The sequence below is a fragment of the Homo sapiens genome, chromosome 4, assembly GCF_000001405.40.
Source record: "Homo sapiens chromosome 4, GRCh38.p14 Primary Assembly".
NCBI classification, from domain to species: Eukaryota; Metazoa; Chordata; class Mammalia; order Primates; family Hominidae; genus Homo; species Homo sapiens.
In genome coordinates this window covers 169,618,376-169,639,740 of record NC_000004.12, presented here as the reverse complement: position 1 = coordinate 169,639,740, position 21,365 = coordinate 169,618,376, and the positions used below count along the sequence as shown (strand labels likewise).

The following is a 21,365-nucleotide window of genomic DNA, read 5'->3' as shown; positions in this document are numbered from 1 at the left end:
AGCAGAAACAGAAATAAGTTTTTTCCTCTGAAATCTGCCTTAACCCATAGTGAGAGACCTAATGTGAGGCTCCAACTTCTTCCAAGACATTCCCCTCCCTGCTACTGTTAACAGAAGAATATCAGCTATGTTGAAAGAAAGAATATTCACTGTCTTAAAAAAGGACATTCACTGTTTCACATATATAATAATTATCCCTATTGCTGGATCTTCATGCATTATCTTCCCTTTACAACCTTCCCAATTCTAAAGGGATATCAAAATGATATCTTTTTTTGGTGACATGTAACATTTGGAATCTGTACCACCGAATTTAAAACTCACACAGTTATTTTTGACTGCTACTCCACAACTTATACCTTCAACTACACTAACTTTGAGGACAGACTCTTTATATAAACTACCAATAGACTGGGCACAGTGGCTCATGCCTGTAATCCCAGCACTTTGGGAGGCCAAGGCAAGAGGATCGTTCGAACCTAAAAGTTCAAAACCAGCCTGGGCAACACAGTGAGACCCCATTGTTACAAAAAATTTTAAAAAATTAGCTGGGTCTAGTGGTGTGCAACTGTGGTCCTAGCTACTCAGAAGGCTGAGGCACAAGTATCTCTTGAGCCCAGGAGGTAAAGGCTGTAGTTAGCCATCATTGTACCACCGCACTCCAGACTAGGCAAAAGAGCGAGACTCTGTCTCCAAAAAAAGAAAAGAAAACACCAATGGTTGCCTACGCTATAGTCATTCCAACTTTATACTTGCTAATTGGGCCTTCCTCTTGTTTGCATGTTAAAGTGCCTAATTTCAGAGAAGGAATCATAATTGTCCTAACCAATCAGTAATTTCATTCCCCTTTGCCAGTTATCAGTCTTGGGGTGGGCATGTGACCCAATTATGGCCAGTGACACATAAGGAAGTCTAATGATAAGGTTCTAGAAAAATTATCCTCCCTGATAAAAGAGCAACACAAATAGATCCTTTTTATGCCCTTGCCCCATCCTTACTGCTTGGCACTCTCTCCTGTTGAAGACCATGAGTAAAGACATCACCAGCACTTGACGGCAACGTGGGAAGGTGGAAGGAGTCAGCTCTTCCTATATCTTTCTACTTCCTGGAGTTAATTTTCTGCCTCACATAAAGGGCTAAAGAGCTATTTAAACACAGAAAAAATGGGTATGCTATTAATTTCACCTGTTTCAAATTATGAATATATGTATTTTTCTTGTTTATAATTTTGTCATTAAAATTAGAAAAAAAATCTGTGATAAAGACAGCAAATGACAAATAACAGCAAAATATTGTATTTTAAACCAGTAAATATCCAAGGGAGCCAGAACTTGAAGTGTCAATATTCTGAAAAGAAGTGAAACAAAGAAAGGTAAAACCCAATAGTCTCAACCATTTTCATTCTTGACCTATTTCCTGGTGAGAAAATGGTAAGGAAGCAGAAAGGGGTAAAAAGAGGTAAAGTATTCTGAAGTCCCTGCATTTTCCATGAAGTGGTAAAAGTACCAATGCCTAGAACTAATAAATCAAGGATACATGTAATAATCTCTAGGGTAGCCTACTGAACAAAAAGTAAGAGAACATATAACAAGGTTTTGAAGGTAACAGAAATAAGGGGAGAGGAAAGAACAGATGTGACAAACAGAAAACAAATAGAGGATGGTCTGAAACCAAACATATTGGTGATTATGTTAAATGCAAACAGACTATAAATCAATAAAAGACAAAAACAAATTTAAAAAACAAAACTCATATATATCCTGGGCATTGGCATATGGATAAGACAATTATTTCAATGTAACACAGTAGAAAGTCCAGAAACAGATCTACAAAAATATAGCCACTTGATACATGACAAAGATGTCACTGTAGTACATTAGAAAAAGCAAAGTTTTTTCCAACAAATGGTGTGGGGTCAACTAGTTATTCATATGGGAAAAAAATGAATCTGAACTCTTAACCCACATCATATTTAAAAAATTAACTGCAGGTAGGCAGATCTAAATGTGAATACACAAAAATAAAACTTCTAGAACAAAACAGGAGAATATCTTTGTGACCTTGAGGTATGGGAAGACTTGTTAAACAGAACAAAAAAAAACACTAAGAATAAAGGAAAAGAAAAAGTTTTTGTTGTTGTTGTTGGTGGTGGTGGTGTTTGTTTGGTTTTTGAGACGGGGTTTTGCTCTGGTGCCTAGCAGGAGTGCAGTGGTGCAATCAAAACTAATTTTTTTTCTTTTCCATTTTTATTGTAGAGACAGAGTCTCACTTTGTTGCCCAGGTTGGTCTCAAACTCCTGGCCTCGAGCAATCCTCCTGCCTCGGCCTTCCAAAGTGCTGGGATTGCAGGCATAAGTGACTGAGACTGGCTTAGAATAAAGGAAAAGATTAGCTGGATTTCATTAGAATTGATGATATCTTCACCAAAAGATTCCTTTAAGAGAGTAAAAAAAATACCACAGAATGAGAGAAGATAACTGCAATACCGTACATGTATCTGAAAAAGGATTCATAATCAGAATGCATAATGAACTCCTATAAAACAGGGAAAAGGACTGAATAGGTGCTTTAAAAGAGGCAATCTAAAAAGCCAATAAACACACAAAAAGGCATTTAAACTCATAAATCATCAAGTAAACATAAATTGAAACCAAAATGAGAGACTACTGCAACCACACTGGAATAGCCAATTTTTTAAAAACTGTTATCATGTATAGGTGAAGATGTGGAGTAACTAGTATTCTCACACATTGCTAGTAGAAATGTACATGCTATATCCACTTTGGTAGTATCTTTGAATAGGGTAATTGACAAAAAAAAAAGAAATGGAAGTATCTCTGATAGTATCTGATAATGCTGAGATATACATATTCTATGATCTAAGCATTCCATTCTGTGATATAAATCATACAGAACTGTGTACATAATGTGCACTAAAACATATGCACATGACAATTCATAGTGGCACTGTTAGCAATAGCCAAAATATGAAAAAAAAAAAAAAAACCAAATAATGAAATATCAGTGTAGAATAACTAAATAAATTGAAGCATGTTTACACAATGGGACACTACACCAACAATGAAAATACGTTAACTATTGCTATACACGACAATATAGATGATTTTGAAACGTAAGTAAAAGCCACAGACATAAAAGAGTACACAGTATGAATTCCACATACATAAAGTTTAAATACTTGCAAAATTAATCTAGATAGAAATCAAAATAATATTGAAACTGAAGGTGGAACAAGGAAGGATTCTGAAACTACTGGTAATGTTTTACTTCTTGATTGAGGAGTAGTTATATAATAAATGTTCACTTTGTAGGAATTCATCAATTTCCACACTAAGATGTGATGATTGCACACCTCTCTGTATTACATTATATTTAAAAGCTTACCCTTAAATGTAGTAGTTTCTTTTGGGGTGGTGAGAATGTTTGGAACGAGATAGAAACGGTAGTTGCACAACACTGTGAACCTGCTAAATGCCACTCAGTTCCACACTTTACAATGGTTAAGTTTATGTTATGTAAATTTGATCTCAAATTTTTAAAGTTACTGAAAAATTCAACCTCAATAAAATAGTGTACATATTTATTAGTGGATATTCATGAATACAAACATTAGGCTGTCATGCTGAACTTACCAACTGCAGTGTCACCATCTAATAAATTGTCATCTTCAGATGTTTGAAAGTCCATAATAACACCTGCTCCATCTAAAAGTTCCTCATCACTACTTGCACTTGTTATACTGTTGTAGCTGTTTCTATAGTAGCCTCTATGGAACAGCTGCTCAGACTCCATTTAGCTGTCTGATTATCTGTGGGGGGGAAAAAGTAGTTTTAACATTTTTCAAACATACAATAAAAATCATCTAGTTTAACATCACAAAAGGAAAGTTATGATCTATGTGCTAAAAAAAATTAAGCGTATTCACTGTAACAATAGTTACCTTTATTAAGTATTTTGGGGTGAGGTAATAATTTTATTCTCATTATACAGTTGTAAAAAAGAATGAAGAATTTCTCCAGGTAGATCTCCAATTGTTAAGTTGAAAAATGTAACGTATATTTACATTTTTGCTTGTGTATGTATAGATTTGTCTCAGGAGAGAGTTCCAAGTAAGTTGCCCAAAGGGTAGGGAACAAGATGGCTGAAGTACAAGGTTTGAAAGACAGACTGCCCCTTTTGAATATTTTATCAGGTGTAAGAGGTGTAAGTACAACCTGATTTTAAAAATAAATACTACAATTAAAAAATTTTAAAATATTTATTTCATTCTCCTTTCATCCTTTTAAAATTTAAATCTTCAGAGCCTATGGTCAAACATTAGCCACTGATAAAATGGTAACAGGCAACAAATCAAAAAAGGGTATGTTTTCATTGTTCTTACTCTCCATATTCTTAAATCTGTATTACTCCTAACTAGTTTGATTTTTAAATACCTCCACTTACTTACTCAACACCAAAATAAGAGTTCAACATAAGTATGGGGACATTAGTAATAGACTTTTAAGCTGCATGGGTGGGACTTGAAAGATGCAGTCATAAAAGCAGTCAAACCAGTAAGCCTTGTAAAACAAGACTTAGCAGATATGGCCTAGTAAGTACACACAGAAAATGACAGATGAAGACTAAAGTAAGCACAGTTCAATTCCAGTGATGAATTCTAGCAGTGAATTCTAACACTGAAGACGTGGAGTGTTTTAAGACAATCTCTTCTACTCAGTAAATTTTCCTTCTGCAAATGGAAAGATAACCTCAAAGAGCTTTAATAACAAAAAGGTATTTATGAAGTTTTAGAAAACTAGACTATTACTGACAATAAATATCTTTTAAACAGATTATATAAATTTCCTAACTTAAAGATCACTTTGAAAAAGGTGAAGTTTTGAGAGCTCCTTGAGAGCATGCCTCTGCTCTCCACATCTGGCATAATGACTGGCACAGTGTAAGAACAACAAATGTCAAACTATTCAATTAATGAGGTCAAAAAGAGAAATGTATTCAGTTTTCAATTTAAAAAAAAATCCTCTCTCCAAGAGTATTAAACTGTTCTTGGAGGAATAACCAAAATTAGCAAATTAAAAAAGAAAAATGTAAATACTTGCTGCTTTGCAACTTTATGAATGTTTTATAGTTATCGCTACCAAAGATGGCATATTATACTGAGATGAGATTTGTTAGAGTATATTAATTAAAACAATAGGAAAGTATGAAAGTAGTTGTTCATACTAAGAAATCTGCAGTTCCATAGAGGCAAACAAATTAAATATTATGTGGCTTTTGAGAAAATTACCAAAAGGCTTTTAAAAACATAAACATTAATAGCTTAAGAATCATTTAATTTTGATGTATCAAAGCATGTATGCTAAGATTTTTGTGAAGAACACAGACACTCTGTTTTTATTTCTTTACAGAATAGAAGGGCTTAATACATATGATAACATTTCAGTGAACATTAGCTAGAGGCTACACAGCACTAAGAAATCTCTGTAAAATCATTAAACCTTTTTATGTGTTAATACTTCAATCAGCAAATTCCAATATATCTCCTCCATTTTATCCCTAAAAGTCTCTCAAAAATCGTAAGTGGTAACTGGAAATTTAACTATTTCCGTTAAAAAAATTAATTTCATAATACCTTTGAGACACCTAGCCTGCAGATCATTCTTTGTAACACAAGCATGCAACTCTGCTCCAAATAAACCAATTAAACCCAGGCCTGCATGGGTTTCTATTTCTATAAATTTGATAACTTAAGATAAAAAAAAAAAACTATTCCACGTATTAACCCAGAAACCTATAGAGCTGTACTGACTGATGCAGCAGCCAGCATACATACGGCTATCGAGCCATTGAAACATGGCTGGTCCAAACTGAAATGTGCTCTAAGTGTAAAATACCTACCAGATTTCTAAGACTTAATATTTAAAAAGGATGTCAAATATTTGACTAGAAATTTTATACTGATTACATGTTGAAATATTTTAGATCCATTGGGTTAAATAAAATATATTTGAAATGAATCTCACCACTTTCTTTTTACCTTTTTAATGTGGCTACTGAAAAATTAAAAATTACCTATGTGGCTTGCATTTGCAGCACTAACACTTTTATTGAACAGCACTGCTATAAAATATTCAAATTTCTATAGTAGCATAAAGGACATATAACAGAAGGAAATCTGAACACTAGTGTTAAATATTTTCAGGTTCTAAACCCAATTCCCAGGCTTGGGCACAAAAGGCTATTTAGACTCTAACACAGCAGATGAAATTTTACATATTTAAAAAAAATAATGCAAAGTCACCTTTTCCATTTTAATCACCAAAAATATACTTATAATCATTTCAAAACATTGTAATAGATACACAGTAGCTTGTAAATATATTCTTACAAAATTATAAAAATTAGAGATAAGCTGGGTGTGGTGGCGCATGCCTGTAGTTCCAGCACTTTGGGAGGCCGAGGCAGCTGGATCGCTTGAGGTCAAGAGCTCAAGACCCACCTGGCCATGGTGGTGAACCCCATCTCTATTAAAAATAAAAAATTAGCCGGGCGTGGTGGCAGCCGCCTGTAACCCCAGCTACTAAGGAGCCTGAGGCATGAAAATCGCTTGAGCCAGAGAGGCGGCAGTTGCAGTGAGCTGAGATTATGCCACTGCACTCCAGCCTGGGAAACAGAGTGAGACTCTGTCTCAAACAAAGTAATAATAATAATCAGAGATAAACTATGAAAACTTCCAGTAATAAGGCCTCGTTTACCTAATAAATTCCTATATTATCTACGTGCAATTATTTTGCTTCCTTCGAATCTGATGACACTGCAGCCAGCACAGTTTTTTTTTCCAAAAAGTAAGTTTGCTCATAATCTCTCTCCATTCCATGTTAACATCTCTTAATCATTTCCTGCTACCCTTAAGAAACAAACTCTTTAATATAGCAGAAAAAGTTCTATGCAGCCCAACCCCTGCTAGTTCCCCAGCACTTTTTTTTTTTTTTTTTTTTTTTTTTGAGATGGAGTCTCGCTCTGTCACCCAGGCTGGAGTGCAGTGGCGCGATCGCTGCTCACTGCAAACTCCGCCTCCTGGGTTCAGGCCATTCTTCTGCCTCAGCCTCCCGAGTACCTGGGACTACAGGCGCCCGCCACTGCGCCCGGCTAATTTTTTGTGTTTTTAGTAGAGACGGGGTTTCACCATGGTCTCAATCTCCTGACCTCGTGATCCGCCCGCCTCGGCCTCCCAAATTGCTGGTATTACAGGCCTGAGCCACCGCGCCTGGCCCCAGCTTCTTTTAATAGCCATTCTGACTGGCGTGAGATGGTGTCTCACTGTGGTTTTGATTTCCATTTCGCTAATCATTAGTGATGTTGAGCATTTTTTCACATGCTTGTTGGCCAGTTGTATATCTTACTTTGAGAAGTATGTACTTCCTGAAGTACTCTAGACTCACTGATCTTTCAATCTCTCAGTCCTATCAAGCTCTTTCCTGACTCCTGCCCCAAGGCCTTTGTTGCTCCCTCTGCCTGGATCATACCCTCTTCTCTTTAACAACTCACTCTCTTAATATTTTGTTGAAGGTTTTTACATCTATGTTCATCAGGGATATTGACCTGTACTTTTCCTTTTTCATTGTGTCTTTGCCAGGTTTTGGTATCGGGGTGAAGCTGGAATGAGTTAAGGAGGAGCCCCTCCTCATTTTTTGGAGTCGTTTCAGTAGAATTGGTACCAGCTTTCTTTGTACATCTGATAGAATTCAGCTATGAATACATCTGGTCCAGGGCTTTTCTGGTTGGTAGATTTTTTATTACCGATTCCATTTTGGAACTCGATATTGGTCTGTTCAGGATTTCAATTTCATCCTGATTTAATCTTGGGAGGCTGTTTCCAGAATTTACCCATTTCCTCTAGATTTTCTAGTTCGTGTTTACAGATGTGTTCATAATAGTCTCTGGGGATCTTTTGTATTTCCATGGGATTGGTTGTAATGTCACCTTTGTTGTTTCTGATTGTGTGGTGATTTGGATCTTGTCTCTTTCTCTGTTAATCTAGCTAACGTCTGACAAAGGTCTAATATCTACAATCTACAAGAAGCAAACAATTCAACAAGCAAAAAACAACATTATTAAAAAGTGGGCAAAGACGGCCGGGCGCGGTGGCTCACGCCTGTAACCCCAGCACTTTGGGAGGCCTAGGTGGGCGGATCACGAGGTCAGGAGATCAAGACCATCCTGGCTAACATGGTGAAACCCCGTCTCTACTAAAAATACAAAAAAAATTAGCCGGGCGTGGTGGTGGGCGCCTGTAGTCCCAGCTACTCCGGAGGCTGGGGCAGGAGAATGGCGTGAAACCAGGAGGCGGAGCTTGCAGTGAGCCGAGATTGCGCCACTGCACTCCAGCCTGGGCGACAACAGAGCAAGACTCCGTCTCCAACAAACAAACAAAAAAAGTAGGCAAGGACATGAACAGATACTTCTCAAATTAAGATATACAACTGTCCAACAAGCAGATGAAAAAATGCCCAACGTCACTAATCATTAGAGAAATGGAAATCAAAACCACAATGAAACACCATCTCACACCAGTCAGGATGGCTATTATTAAAAAGCCAAAAAACAACAGATGCTGGCAAGGCTATGGAATGCTTATACACTGTCAGTGGGAATGTAAATTGGCTCAGCCCCTGTGGAAAGCAGTTTGGAGATTTATCAAAGAACTTAAAACAGAAATACCATTTGACCCAGCAATGCCATTACTGGGTATATACCCAAAAGAAAATAAATTGTTCTACATAAAAGACACATGTGCTTATATGTTCATCACAGCACTACCCACAATAGCAAAAACACAGAATCAACCTAGGTGCTCATCAATAGTGGACTGGATAAAGAAAATATGGTACAGGCTGGGTGCGGTGGCTCACGCCTGTAATCCCAGCACTTTGGGAGGCCAAGGCTGGCGGATCACCTGAGGTCAGAAGTTCAAGACCAACCTGGCCAACATGGTGAAACCCTGTACTAAAAAAATACAAAAATTAGCCGGGAGTGATGGCAGGTGTCTGTAATTCCAGCTACTCGGGAGGCTGAGGCAGGAGAATTGCTTGAACCTAGAAGGCAGAGTTTGCAGTGAGCCAAGATCGTGCCACTGCACTCCAGCCTGGGCGACAGAACAAGACTCTGTCTCAAAAAAAAATAAAAATAAAAAAAGGAAAGAAAAGAAAATATGGTACATATACACCATGGAACACTACACAGCCATAAAAAGAATAAAATCAAGTCCTTTGCAGCAATGGGGATGCTGCTGGAGACCATTATCCTAAGTGAATTAACACAGTAACAGAAAACCAAATACAGCATGTTCTCATTTTAAGTGGGAGCTTTAACATCAGGTACTCACAGATGTACAGATGGCAACAATAGTCACTGAGGACTACCAGCGCGGGCAATGTAGGGAAGGAAGCAAGGGCTGAAAAACTGTTGAGCACTATACCCACTTCCTGGGTAATGGGTACAACTGTACCCCAAACCGCAGCATCATGCTGTATACCCATGGAATAAACCTGCACATCTAAAATAAAAGTTGAAATTGTAAAAATAAAAAAGAATTAACTCTCCTACTCATTTTTCTTACAAGGTCTTACATCAAGTATCCCTTTATTTAACAAACTCTTAACCAGAGCTTACTATATGCTAGGCAATATCTTAAGCCCTTTACAAATTCATTCATTTAATATTCATATTAAATATATGACAACCTTAAAGAATAGGTGCTATTATTGTCCCCACTAAAAATGAGGAACTGAGGCACAAAGCATGTAAATAACTCGCCCAAAGTCATGCAGTTAGTAAGCAAAGCTTCGCTGACCCACTTACTATCTGGATCAAATTTTCTCATTATTAGTTCTTATAGCTCTCTTTTACAGCACTTACCACAGTTGAATATTAAATTTATTTCTGTGATTATTTAATATCTGTCTGCCATTGTAGAACGTGTCATGAGGTCTGACACTCAATTTTTGCTCAACACTGTATACTCAATGGTTAGCAAAATATGTCACATTAGACCAGGCGCAGTGGCTCACAGCTGTAATCTCGGCACTTTAAGAGGCCCAGGAGGGCAGATCACCTGAGGTCAGGAGTTCAAGACCAGCATGGCCAACATGGTGAAACCCCGTCTCTACTAAAAATACAAAAATTAGCCGGGCATAGTGGTGAGTGCCTGTAATCCCAGCTACTCAGGAGGCCGAGGCAGAAGAATCACTTGAGCCCAGGAGGCAGAGGTTGCAGTGAGCTGAGATCACACCACTCACTGCACTCCAGCCTGGGCAACTGAGCAAGATCTGCCTCAAAAAAAAAAAATGTGTCACAGTAGATGTTCAATTTTTTTAATTAAATTTTTATTTTGAGATAATTGTGGTTCCACATGTAGTTACAATAAATAATACAGAAAAAAATCCTGTATATCTTTTACCCAGTTTCCATTAATGGGAACATCTCGCAAAACTATAGTACAATATCACAATCAAGATAAGGACATTGATACAGTCAAGATACAGAATATTCCATCACCACAGGTATCTCTCATGTTGCCGTTTTATGGCCATCCCTCCTTAACCCCTAGCAACCCATAGTCTGTTTTCTACTTCAATAATTTTGCCAGTTCAAGAATGTTATATAAATGATATGATATGGGGATTAACTCTTTGTTCTCAGCACAATTCTCTGGAGATTCATCCAGGGTGTTACATGTGTCAATAGTTCCTTCCTTTTTATCAGAGTAGTCTATGATAACAGATATGCCACAGTTTGTTTAACCATTCACCCACTGAAGAACATCTGGCTTGTTTCTATGTTTTGGTGACTATGAATAAAGCTGCTACAAACATGCATGTACAGGTTTTTGAAAATGAATAGCCTTTATTTCTTTGGGCTAAATGTCAGAGTACAATAGTTGGGTCATACAGTAGTCACATATTTGTTTTTTAAAGAAACTGCCAAATTGTTTTCCAGAGTGGCTGTACCATTGTACATTTCTACCAACAATGTATGAGTGATCCAGTTTCTTGACCTCGTTGCCAGCATTTGGTGTTGTCACTATTTCTTATTTTAGCTATTCTGATAGATGTACGGTAGTATCTTGTTGCTTTAATCTGCATCTCCCTAATGGGTAATGATGCTGAACATTTTTTATGTGCTCATTTGCTATATGTGTAATCCTCTTCAGTGAAATGACTATGTCTTTTGTCCGTTTTCTAGCTGGACTGCTTTCATACTGTTGACTTTTAAGAGTTCTTTATATATTACAGATACTAGTTATTTGTCAGTTGTGTTGTCTGCAAATATTTTCTCCCCTCTCTAGTTTATCTTTTCATCTTTTTAACAGGGTCTATAACAGAGCAAAAATACTTAATTTTGATGAAGTTTAATTTATCAATTTTGCCTTTAAGGAGTATTCTTTTGGTGGCAAGTCAAAGAAACATATGCCTAACCCTACCTCCCCAAAATTTTCTTCTATTTTTCCTAAAATTTTATAGTTTAATATTTTTATATTTCAGTCTGTGATCCATTTTAATTTGTGCATGCACAGGGTATGAGACATAGGTTGAGGTTCCTTTATTGGGGGGTTGGGAATGGGACAGTGTATGGATGTCTAATTGCTCCAGTACCAACTGTTGAAAAAGTTATCTACCTCCGTTGAACTGTTTTCATGCTTTTGACAAAAACTAGGTATATTTATGTGGATCTATTTCAGAGTTCTCTGTTCTGTTCCACGGATCTGTGTCTTTATCTATGCCCATACCACACAGTCTTGATTACTGTAACTACATAATAAGTCTTGAAATTGAGTAGATTGATCTTTCACACCTTATTCTTCTTTTTCATTGCCTTTTCATGTAAATTTTAGAATAATCTTGTCCATATCTAAAAAAAATCTTGTTGGGTTAATTATATTGTATGAATAAATAACAAATGTATAAGAAATAAATGGTACATGTCTTCCTTGATGTTGTAAAAGAGCTAAAACTCAACAAGACCTAAACTAAATAAATATTTGCCCCAAAAGTCCTTGTCCTCCTACTTTTCCTATCTCAGTTTACAGGATCACCATTTATCTAGTATTCAAAGCTAGTTTTTGGAGTCATTTATTAATTTATTTGATAATCATTGACTGCACACTTAGCATGTACCAGGCACAAAGCCAGATGCTAGGGTAATGAATAAGATATGGTTTCTGTTCCTAAGGCAGTGAAGGTGACAGACATCAACAAGTAACAACAATATGGTATGATACACATCACAGGAGAGGTACATACAATGTATTTGATAAACCTGAGAAAAGTAAGCAAGCTGGCTGGCACACAGTCCGTAAGCACTTAATAGAGGGAATATTTTAGCAAAATATTGAAGAATTAGGATAAATTAATTGGGCTGTGAGGTAAAAAGTCAATACAGGCACACACACAAAAAAAGTATGCGCAACAGCATAAAAGCATCATAGTAAAACCTGCTTGGGTAGCTTATGTAAGAGGTAAAGGACCAGAGAGTAGCTACAGAGGCAGACATAGGCCAGATCATGAAGGGGAGGGGTTCATGTGTCACACTAAGAAACTTACATACTCATCTATACACAGGGGAAACCATGAAGAACTTTAGAGAAATCACATGATCAGACATGAATTTTAGTAAGCCAACACTAGCAGCAGTGTGAAAGCCAGATAAGAAGGGTAAGAGACTGAAGGACTACAGATAGAGAAGCTGGAGATGAGACTAGACGTCTGAACAATTCTAAACGTAAGATAGGGCATAACTGAATTAAGAGTGATATGATATATATTGGTTTTCATCCATGGTTCCTGGTTTATAAGTCCCACAGCTCTTATTACATTCTTTTTTAATATTAAATTTAATTTTATATAAGTAGAGACAGGATTTCACTATGTTGGCCAGGCTGGTCTCGAACTCCTGGCCTCAAGTGATCCGCCCACATCGGCCTTCCAAAGTGATGGGATTACAGAGGTAAGCCACTGTGCCTGGCCTTACTACAGTCTTTTGTATAATGTTGGGGCACATTAAACCTCAGAAAACAGAATCTCTTCTCTTGCTGACCTTTTCCTGCCCTCCTTTCCACCAACCCAAGGCAGAACTCTAATCTTCCACAGCCTGTCTGACTGTGGGTCATAAGACCTTCCCTTTAGAAGGGAGCTTGCCCCAGACCCTGGAAGAAGGAATGCTGCAGACAGGCAGAAGAAGTTGGACAGGCAGGCCTTGCTGGGTTTCCCCACTGGGTCTATTAGTGCTGTTAGGTCATACTCTTTTTGTCCAATCACATTTCTACACAGTTGTTGACTGTGCCTATGTAATGAAGCCTCCATAAAAACCCAAAAGGAGTGGATTCAGAGAGCTTCTGGATAGCTGAACATTGGAGGCTCCTGGAAGGTGGCGCACCATGGGAAGGCATGGAAGCTCCATGCTCTTTCCCCTATCTCCCCCTATGCATCTGTTCATCTGTATCCTTTGAACATCCTTTATAATAAACCGGTAAGTGTTTCTCTGAGTTCTGTGAGCTGCTCTAGCACATTAATTGAACCCAAGGACGTAAGGAGTGGGGGGGTCATGGGATCCCTGATTTATAGCCAGTGTTATCAGAAGCACAGGCAAAATCAAAATAACCTGGGGCTTGCGATTAGCACTGGAAGTGGGGGAAGTCTTTTGGGAACTGCCCTCAACCAGTGGTGTCTGACACTACCTCCAGGTACACCGTATTGGAACCGGGGGGCACCCAGTTGGTATCTGCTGCAGAACTAACTGGTTGGTTGCTGTGGGGGGAGAAACCCCCAAGCATCTGGTCACAGAAGTCTTCTGTGTTAATTATTGTTGTGTTGAGTGAGAGAATTAAAAAATACTTTGGCTGTGATTTTACCCTGCTCACTAAGACACATCAATATTGAGAAGCAGAGAGAGTTTGAAGAAATATTTAAGAGGACCTGGTAATTAATAAGATATAGGGAATGGTAAAGAAGAATCTAAGATATCCACTAAGGTTCCAACTTGATTAACTGAAAACAGTTGGCAGAAACAAATTTCAGTCTCCTGCAACTCACAGAACTCAAGACCAGCGTGTTCTTTCCAACTTTAGGATTATATGTCGAGGCTTTAGTTTCTATTCCAGGTCAGACTATAAAGAAGGTTACCTCCATTACACTGACCTGAGCCCCAAAACTGCAAACACTAAGCAATATGCCACCAGAATTTGGGGAGGGGAGCAAAAATAGGAAAACCATGGAAATGGGTGGCGAAAGGATCCACAGCCTGAGATATGCACACTAATTTTTCATGGTTCCCAACAAAGTTTTGTCTCTCCCATAAAGGAGACTGACTGGGTACAGCTGAGGACCACATCTAATTCCCAAAGGTGTGTCAGTCAACTCTCTGTTAAGCTAAAAAGAAAAGTGGATATAAACTGGGTGAAAGAAGAAAAAGATTGTCAATGTCAGCAACTAGAGAGATGGAACAAAAGTCTCAAGAGCAACGATGGCAGAGAGGTGAAAATCTGAGCTAGCCATTTGTATGTAAGGAGCATTTTCATATAAATATTGTAAAAACTGTGCTAAGTACTAGTCACAGATTGAAACGTGAAAAGAGGCCAGGTGCAGTGGCTCACACCTGTAATTCCAGCACTTTGGGAGGCCGAAGTGGGCAGATCACCTGGGTCAGGAGTTCAAGACCAGCCTGGCCAACATGGGGAAACCCCGTCTCTAATAAAAGCACAAAAATTAGCCGGGCATGGTGGCGGGCACCTGTAATCCCAGCTACTCAGGAGGCTGAGGCAGAAGAATAGCTTGAACCCAGGAGGCAGAGACTGAGGATAGCTGAGATCGCGCCACTGCACTCCAGCCTGGGCAACAAGAGCAAGACTGAGCCTCAAACAAAAGAAAAAAAAATGTGAAAAGGAATTTCAACATAACTTATTCATTTACTAACATTTATAGAATAGCTAACAATGTACCAGAAATTATAATAAATATGAACACAGTTTTTATTGTATTAATGCCATTATATTTGTATAGGCCCTACAGCTTTCAGTAGACTTCAGCATAAATTACATTATACATTTTCCTCAAGAGGGATGCTGTAATAGCTTTCTAAAAATTAGTATGTATTCCAGCCCAGTGCAGTGGCTCATGCCTGTAATCCCAACACTTTGGGATGCCGAGGTGGGCAGATCACATGAGGTCAGGAGTTTGAGACCAGTCTGGCCAACAGGGTGAAACCCTGTCCCTACTAAAAATACAAAAATTGGCTCGGCACGGTGGCTCATGCCTGTAATCCCAGCACTTTGGGTGGCCGAGGCGGGTCGATCACCTCAGGTCAGGAGTTCAAGACCAGCCTGGCCAACATGGTAAAACCTTGTCTCTGCTAAAAAGACAAAAATTAGCCAGGAGTGGTGGCGCGTGCCTGTAATCCCAGCTACTCCAGAGGCTGAGGCATGAGAATCGCTTGAACCCAGGAGGCAGAGGTTGCAGTGAGCAGAGATTGCACCACTACACTCCAGCTGGGGTAACAGAACAAGAGTCTATCTCAAAAAAAAAGTCACTACTATACCATAGGAATTAGTGTGGTCTACTGATTACATTAGCACTGGGCAAGGTTCAGTTTAAATCAAGTTCTCAGAGTACCCAAAGTAAAATCAACATATCTAATCCTTGCTATACTGACCTAATTTTAAACTGATTTTATAGGATTACTTTTCTTTCTTCCAATACAGTGATTCATCTTCTGCATTTAAGGTCGATATTAGAGATATCTAAAAGGATCTATGATGAATGGATAAAGAAAATGTAATATATATACAGAATGGAATACCATACAGCCTTTAAAAGGAAGAAAATTATGTCATTTTCAAAAACGTAGATTAACCCGGAGGACATAATGCTAAGTGAAATAAATAAGACACAAAAAAACAAATACTGCATGATCTCACATATGTGTAAAATCTAAAAAAAAAAGTCAAACTCAGGGAGGCAGAGAGCAGAATGGTGGTCTACAAAGGCTAGGGAGAAGGGGGAAAAAGGAAAGGAGAGAGGTTAGTCAAAGAATACCAAGTTTCAGTTAGAGGAGTAAGTTTTAGAGATCTATTGCATGCCACGGTGACTATAATTAATAATAATGTACTATATACCTCAAAATTGCTAAAAGTTAATTTTAAACGTTCTCACCACAAACAAATGGCAAGTAGGTGATATGATGGACGTGTTAATTTGCTTGATTTAACCTTTCTACAAAATATACATTTATCAAAACATCACATTGAACCCCATAAATATACACAATGATTATCTGTCAATTAAAAATAAATAAAAACAGACAAAAAAACCCAAATTCCTCAGGGGCAGCGGGTATAAATGCTAGAGGCTTTCAAGAGGACAACGGAATAAACACACATACAAATATAACACTCAGATTATAACAAGGAAGAAAGATAAAACAATAAACCAATAAAAAGTTGCTGTGGAAGACAGAAACTTTGAAAACTAAATAGTCTTCATGATTTTAAAAGACAGAAACTGTTCGATTATTTCTCACAAGAAATAGCAAGAAATATATTTATTTAACTTGGTTCCAGTCAAAGTTGCAGATCAAATCTCTCTGGATTTCAACAATGAAAGTGAGGCAGTGGGGTTCAATCTCCATATTAAACTTCACTGAAGATTTATCTTTAAGAACCAAAATGAATCACAGCTACAATGTTTATGTACAGATGTGAATGTGCATATTTAAAAAATTAAAATGTTTATTAGAGTAGTAAGATTATGAGTATTCCTTTTAAAAACACTGTTTCCCAGACTCTCTGTAATTTTACATTGCTTTTATAATTGAACCTACAAGCCACGTCCCTCCTTGTTTTTCTCTAGCATTTTGACTATTCTAAACTACACTATGGTGCAGCAGAGAGCAGGAACTCTGAAATCATACTCCCAGGCTTCAGTCTCAGTTCTGACAGTTACTGTAGGGCAAGTTAGTTAAATTTTCTGTGCCTCAGTTTCTACGAATGTAAAACGGGATTAGTGAAAGTACCTACTTCGTGGGGTTAGTGTGAAAATTGAGATAATTCACAAAAATTACTTGGAAAAGAGCCTGAAAACACAGAATGCATTCAACAAATATTAACACTTATTATAAAATATTATACATTTTAGATCACTGCTGACAAGTTTGACTACCAAACTAAGTTGGAAGTTCTACAAAACAGCGATAGTGGCCAAACCCCACAGGATACTGCTTTGATATAAGACCCACCACAGAGATCAAATCTGGCTTCCTGAGCCGTCTGAAAATTATGACCAACATGTCACAACAGGAAATGGAAAGCCTACCACTAACATGACCTGGAAAATAGCCAATTTACTAACACAAACCCACAACATCAACAAATCTGTTCCCCTGAACCACATCTATCCAAAAGTAGTTTAAATATTTACATTCTTAATGAGCTATGTATGACTGATAACACATACTGAAGTACAATTTCCAAGTAAAAATGTAGGTACTATACATTCATATTGACTTCTTAAAATAATGTGACTCATCATTCAAGTAAAGCAGCAAAGTTTTCGAGGTGCTGAGGGGAGTAAGGGGTGGGAAGGGTATGCAATCTGTGATGAATTCTGCCAACAGTGGCTGTCTGTATTAACCAGAGGCCATATACGCATATTCAAGTTGAGAAAATATCTGTAGGTCACACACATGGTTTTTAAAGCCATATTATAGAACAAGACACTGAATAGCAGCAGCACCTTTTAAGATGAAAGTCAACAATTTATACACAAGCACTTTAACTCCCATATGTACTCCTGAACTGAACAAATATTATTTTGTAGTGACTCACAAAGGGACGCAGTTATTTCCATACCGACCTCATAAAAAAAAATCTTCTAAATTAACTCTTTAAAGATGAAAGTAAAAGCATTTCTGGAAAGATTCAACAATTATACAAGCCACAATGATGCTGCAGTAACTGAACTGCATAGCTCCAAAAGTTTACGTTTGTAGAACTGAACTTTTGAATTATATATCTGTGTAAAAGGTATGGTCGCTGTTGATTCAATTCCATGAACAGGAATTTCTTTCTAAAGGAAACAGAAATCTCAGTTTCTAATATGCACAATGCATATGTAATTATCTTCTATATGCTCCGCAGTTTTAAAATGCCATACAAACAAAGCATACCACATGCAAAGTCAATTTCTGAGATTCTAAGGCAGTTTCTGGTCAAGTTTAAGATCAAACCACAAATATATATACACAAAAAATATTTTACATACATATATATCTAAAGATAGAAAAACTGAATATTATTTTTAAATTGGGGAAAATTTAGCGAAAGTAAAACCCACTCCTCTAAGTTTAAAGTTAATCTTCTCCTGGAACCCACTTCCATTTTATTCAGAGGTCCTTCGACGGTTCCTGAAGCAGATGTGTGAAATTTTAAAGAATGTCTGAGGGTATATACCTAATCAGGATGGGTTAGCATCCCAATTCACGATGTACCTTTCAACATTATGTAGGTACATTGTAAGAGAAACCAAGATGAGCGCTGTGGCCTCACAGTTGACCCAAAATCTGTGAACAGGAGAGCTGACAACTCTTCGCTCATACAATGCAACTCACCTCGCAGCTCAGAGACATAGCAAAATCGGTGGCTGTTTTTTGCGCTGCCTTTGGATTCTGCATCTGTTTCAAACCTAGAACCTAGCTACCCTCGGAGCTCCACCGAAGAAAGCCTGACACAGCGAAAACTATCGCGATTTAAAAGATACCTGACGTTTTCTACCGCAGAGGTTACGAAAATTTTGCCCGGTGGGACTTTTATTGTCCTCCTTCAAACACGGGAGCAACATGAAGTTAAATCCTCTCGCTCTGGAGATCCCTAGAGTCAACCTGCTTCTGCCCAAAATTAAAAATAAAAATCTCCAATCTCACTTCCCCCTTAAGACTAAAACTGAATCCATGCTCTAACTCGGGAGTAAAGTAGGATGGCTTTCAACCCACCACACCCTCCTTGCTCATTATTCCGGGTCACGGGCGAACTAGAACACTGGGAAAGGGGCTGCAGGTTCCGGACCGGACCGGCCCTGACCCACGGAAGGGGAAGAGAAGCGGCAGGAGTCAGGAGCCCGAAAGGTACGCCCCAGCGTCGACGCGTGACGTCACTACGTTGACGTGAACGGCCGTTCAGCGTCCGGCCGTCCCAACACCTCCTCCTCCGGCCACTCGCTGAGTAGCGTCGGCGCCTATTGGGCGGCGTGGGAACGGTGGGCGGGCCGGGACTGGGTCTCGAGGAGGAGGAGGGGTGCGAGGTGCCTGGCTCTGAGGGCCGCCGGGGCTGTGAAGCCTGTCATTAGCGATTAGCTCACGTCAGTCACTCACGCATCCCTGTTTGCCCTGCTGCTGACCTCGCGCGAGGCGGCCACCTTGTGGGAGATGTTTTCGTGAGGCAACAGACGCTGGCCGTTCCCAGCGTCACGCAGAGTTCGGATCCACTCTAGCGAGAGACCACAGCGTCCGGGAGCAGCTTGTGAAACTCTGGCGAGCGTCAGCCTTGAAAATAAAAAGTATTGGCAGCCGTCGACGAGCACAGGTTCCTAAAACTTAGATCGAAGAGAAGTACCAGCCTTCAAAAATAAACCAGCACCAAAAGCCCCCTGTGCTTATAGGTGACGTGCGGGCTGGGAGTGCAGTGGTGTCACCTCGCCTTGTATGTCATCGCCGGTTGTGTGCCTAACATACATACAAAAAGGATAACTCGAATTTAGCCATCACGCATTTTCAAAAATACTGCTTGGAAATTGAATGTTTGGAGAAAAGATATAATCTGGGGTTTCTACACGGTCTGAATTGGGTTCATTTCCGTTTAGCAAACATTTATTGAGCTCCCAGCGTGGGTCACAGAATTCAGTAAACCTGATCCCGTGTTCAAGGTGCTATATTCCGATGCAGGGCAGGGCGATGCAGTGAAAGAATGGTGGCCACAGCAGTAGCATGCTAATAGCCTGGTGGGCAGGTACAGGTTTTGCATTTCTTTGGCGAGATCACTTTTGAGTGTCTCCACTGGGTGGCAGAATTAAGACCCGTGAACGTTTAATATCTCCTGTATATTTAGTATATTATGAATATATACTGATTAATGAATATTAAGTGCGTGTTGTATATCTTGTGCCTCATGAATATTAAATATGACCTGGTCTTGCCAGCCTTTTCTATTTTTACATATACGTGCTCCACCGACTGTTTTGCAGGCTAGGAACACGTGAGTTTTGTTCTCCTATTTCTTCTAGGGCAGCATTGAATATTCTCAAAGACAGTTCTGGGCTTCAGAGCTGGTATAGTGCCCATGGTGGTGATCACAGTGCGGTCAAGCTTCTTAGGACCTCTTTCATTACTTTTATCCAGGTAGAGTTTGTAGAACTATGGAAATACCCAAGCACGATTTTCTCTTACCTGGGACACTGTTGGCCAAGATCTTTAGATTCTTCTTAGAAAATGTGGAAAAGCAGGCAAAAATTTTTCCAAACCAAGTGGAATTTTTCACAAGACATTTACTCACATTTTTTTTTCTCTCTCACTGTAGTTACGTAGCTAATTTTGGAAAGGCACATGGATTTTGAGAATGTAGACAGTAGTTGTGGTCTATTAGTCAATCTTACCTGCTTTCTATAAGGATGAAAAATTATTTCATGGTAGTGTCGTAGTTTCTTAATGGAGGATTGTTCCAAGGATCTCTCTTAAGTGTGCAAGAACAAGTCTATTTGTACGTTTGGTTTTTTGTAATATTATCCCTATTATGTACTACCTTATTCCTTTATAAGAACTTAAAGTCATGGTCTCTGGCATACATAATCATCGCACCAGTAGTTCTCAATCTTCACTTTGCATCAGAGCCATCTAGGGAGCTTCAGAAAAATATCCTTGCTTAGGTCCCACTCCCAGAAATCCTGTCTTAATTGTTTCAATGTTGGACCTAAGCATTCCTGTGTTTAACTCTTCCCAGTTGATCCAAGGTGCTCAGTCAGAAACACTGTGTTACATATGGGGCAATATATTTAAACAATGTGGTATGTGATTGCTTGGTGATAAAACAATAGATCGCATCTGGGAAAAAACGTTCTCTGTAATTCCTCTGGTGTTTTTGTCAGAGAATCTGGTGATGTTGAACTTCCTGTTCAACAGACTGGTGGGAGGAAACACAGGGTAAGCACCATAGCCAGATCTTTGGTACATTTTAAGTGCCCTAATGTGAATACTTTCAGCCTGATCTCATTCCATCGTGGTAAATACTACAGAAAGGATGCTGATTGA

The 21,365-nt window shown here is 38.7% G+C and overlaps 1 protein-coding gene across 4 annotated transcripts in view, besides 4 other annotated features; it reads right to left on the bottom strand.

The window, feature by feature from the left end:
- CLCN3 (chloride voltage-gated channel 3) overlaps positions 1–19,163 on the bottom strand; it is a 103,096-nt gene extending 83,933 nt beyond the window's left edge. For 3 of the 4 annotated variants that reach the window (NM_173872.4, NM_001829.4, NM_001243372.2), the window contains exons 1-2: positions 18,678–19,163; positions 3,653–3,828 (exon numbers count right to left, since the gene is read on the bottom strand). In NM_173872.4, the coding sequence (NP_776297.2) occupies positions 3,653–3,812 (160 nt within the window). In that variant the 5' untranslated portion in view covers positions 3,813–3,828; positions 18,678–19,163. Of the gene's footprint in view, positions 1–998; positions 1,145–3,652; positions 3,829–18,677 lie in introns of those variants that run through there. The other variant, XM_047449584.1, reaches the window with a different exon arrangement.
- Positions 18,706–18,815: an enhancer, noted in NCBI's record as "active region_22143". NCBI's record gives its function as "activates an Ori minimal core promoter by ATAC-STARR-seq in GM12878 lymphoblastoid cells {active_cell/tissue: GM12878}" and the evidence as "EXISTENCE:reporter gene assay evidence [ECO:0000049][PMID:35858748]".
- Positions 19,006–19,235: an enhancer, noted in NCBI's record as "active region_22142". NCBI's record gives its function as "activates an Ori minimal core promoter by ATAC-STARR-seq in GM12878 lymphoblastoid cells {active_cell/tissue: GM12878}" and the evidence as "EXISTENCE:reporter gene assay evidence [ECO:0000049][PMID:35858748]".
- Positions 19,306–19,355: an enhancer, noted in NCBI's record as "active region_22141". NCBI's record gives its function as "activates an Ori minimal core promoter by ATAC-STARR-seq in GM12878 lymphoblastoid cells {active_cell/tissue: GM12878}" and the evidence as "EXISTENCE:reporter gene assay evidence [ECO:0000049][PMID:35858748]".
- Positions 19,916–19,985: an enhancer, noted in NCBI's record as "active region_22140". NCBI's record gives its function as "activates an Ori minimal core promoter by ATAC-STARR-seq in GM12878 lymphoblastoid cells {active_cell/tissue: GM12878}" and the evidence as "EXISTENCE:reporter gene assay evidence [ECO:0000049][PMID:35858748]".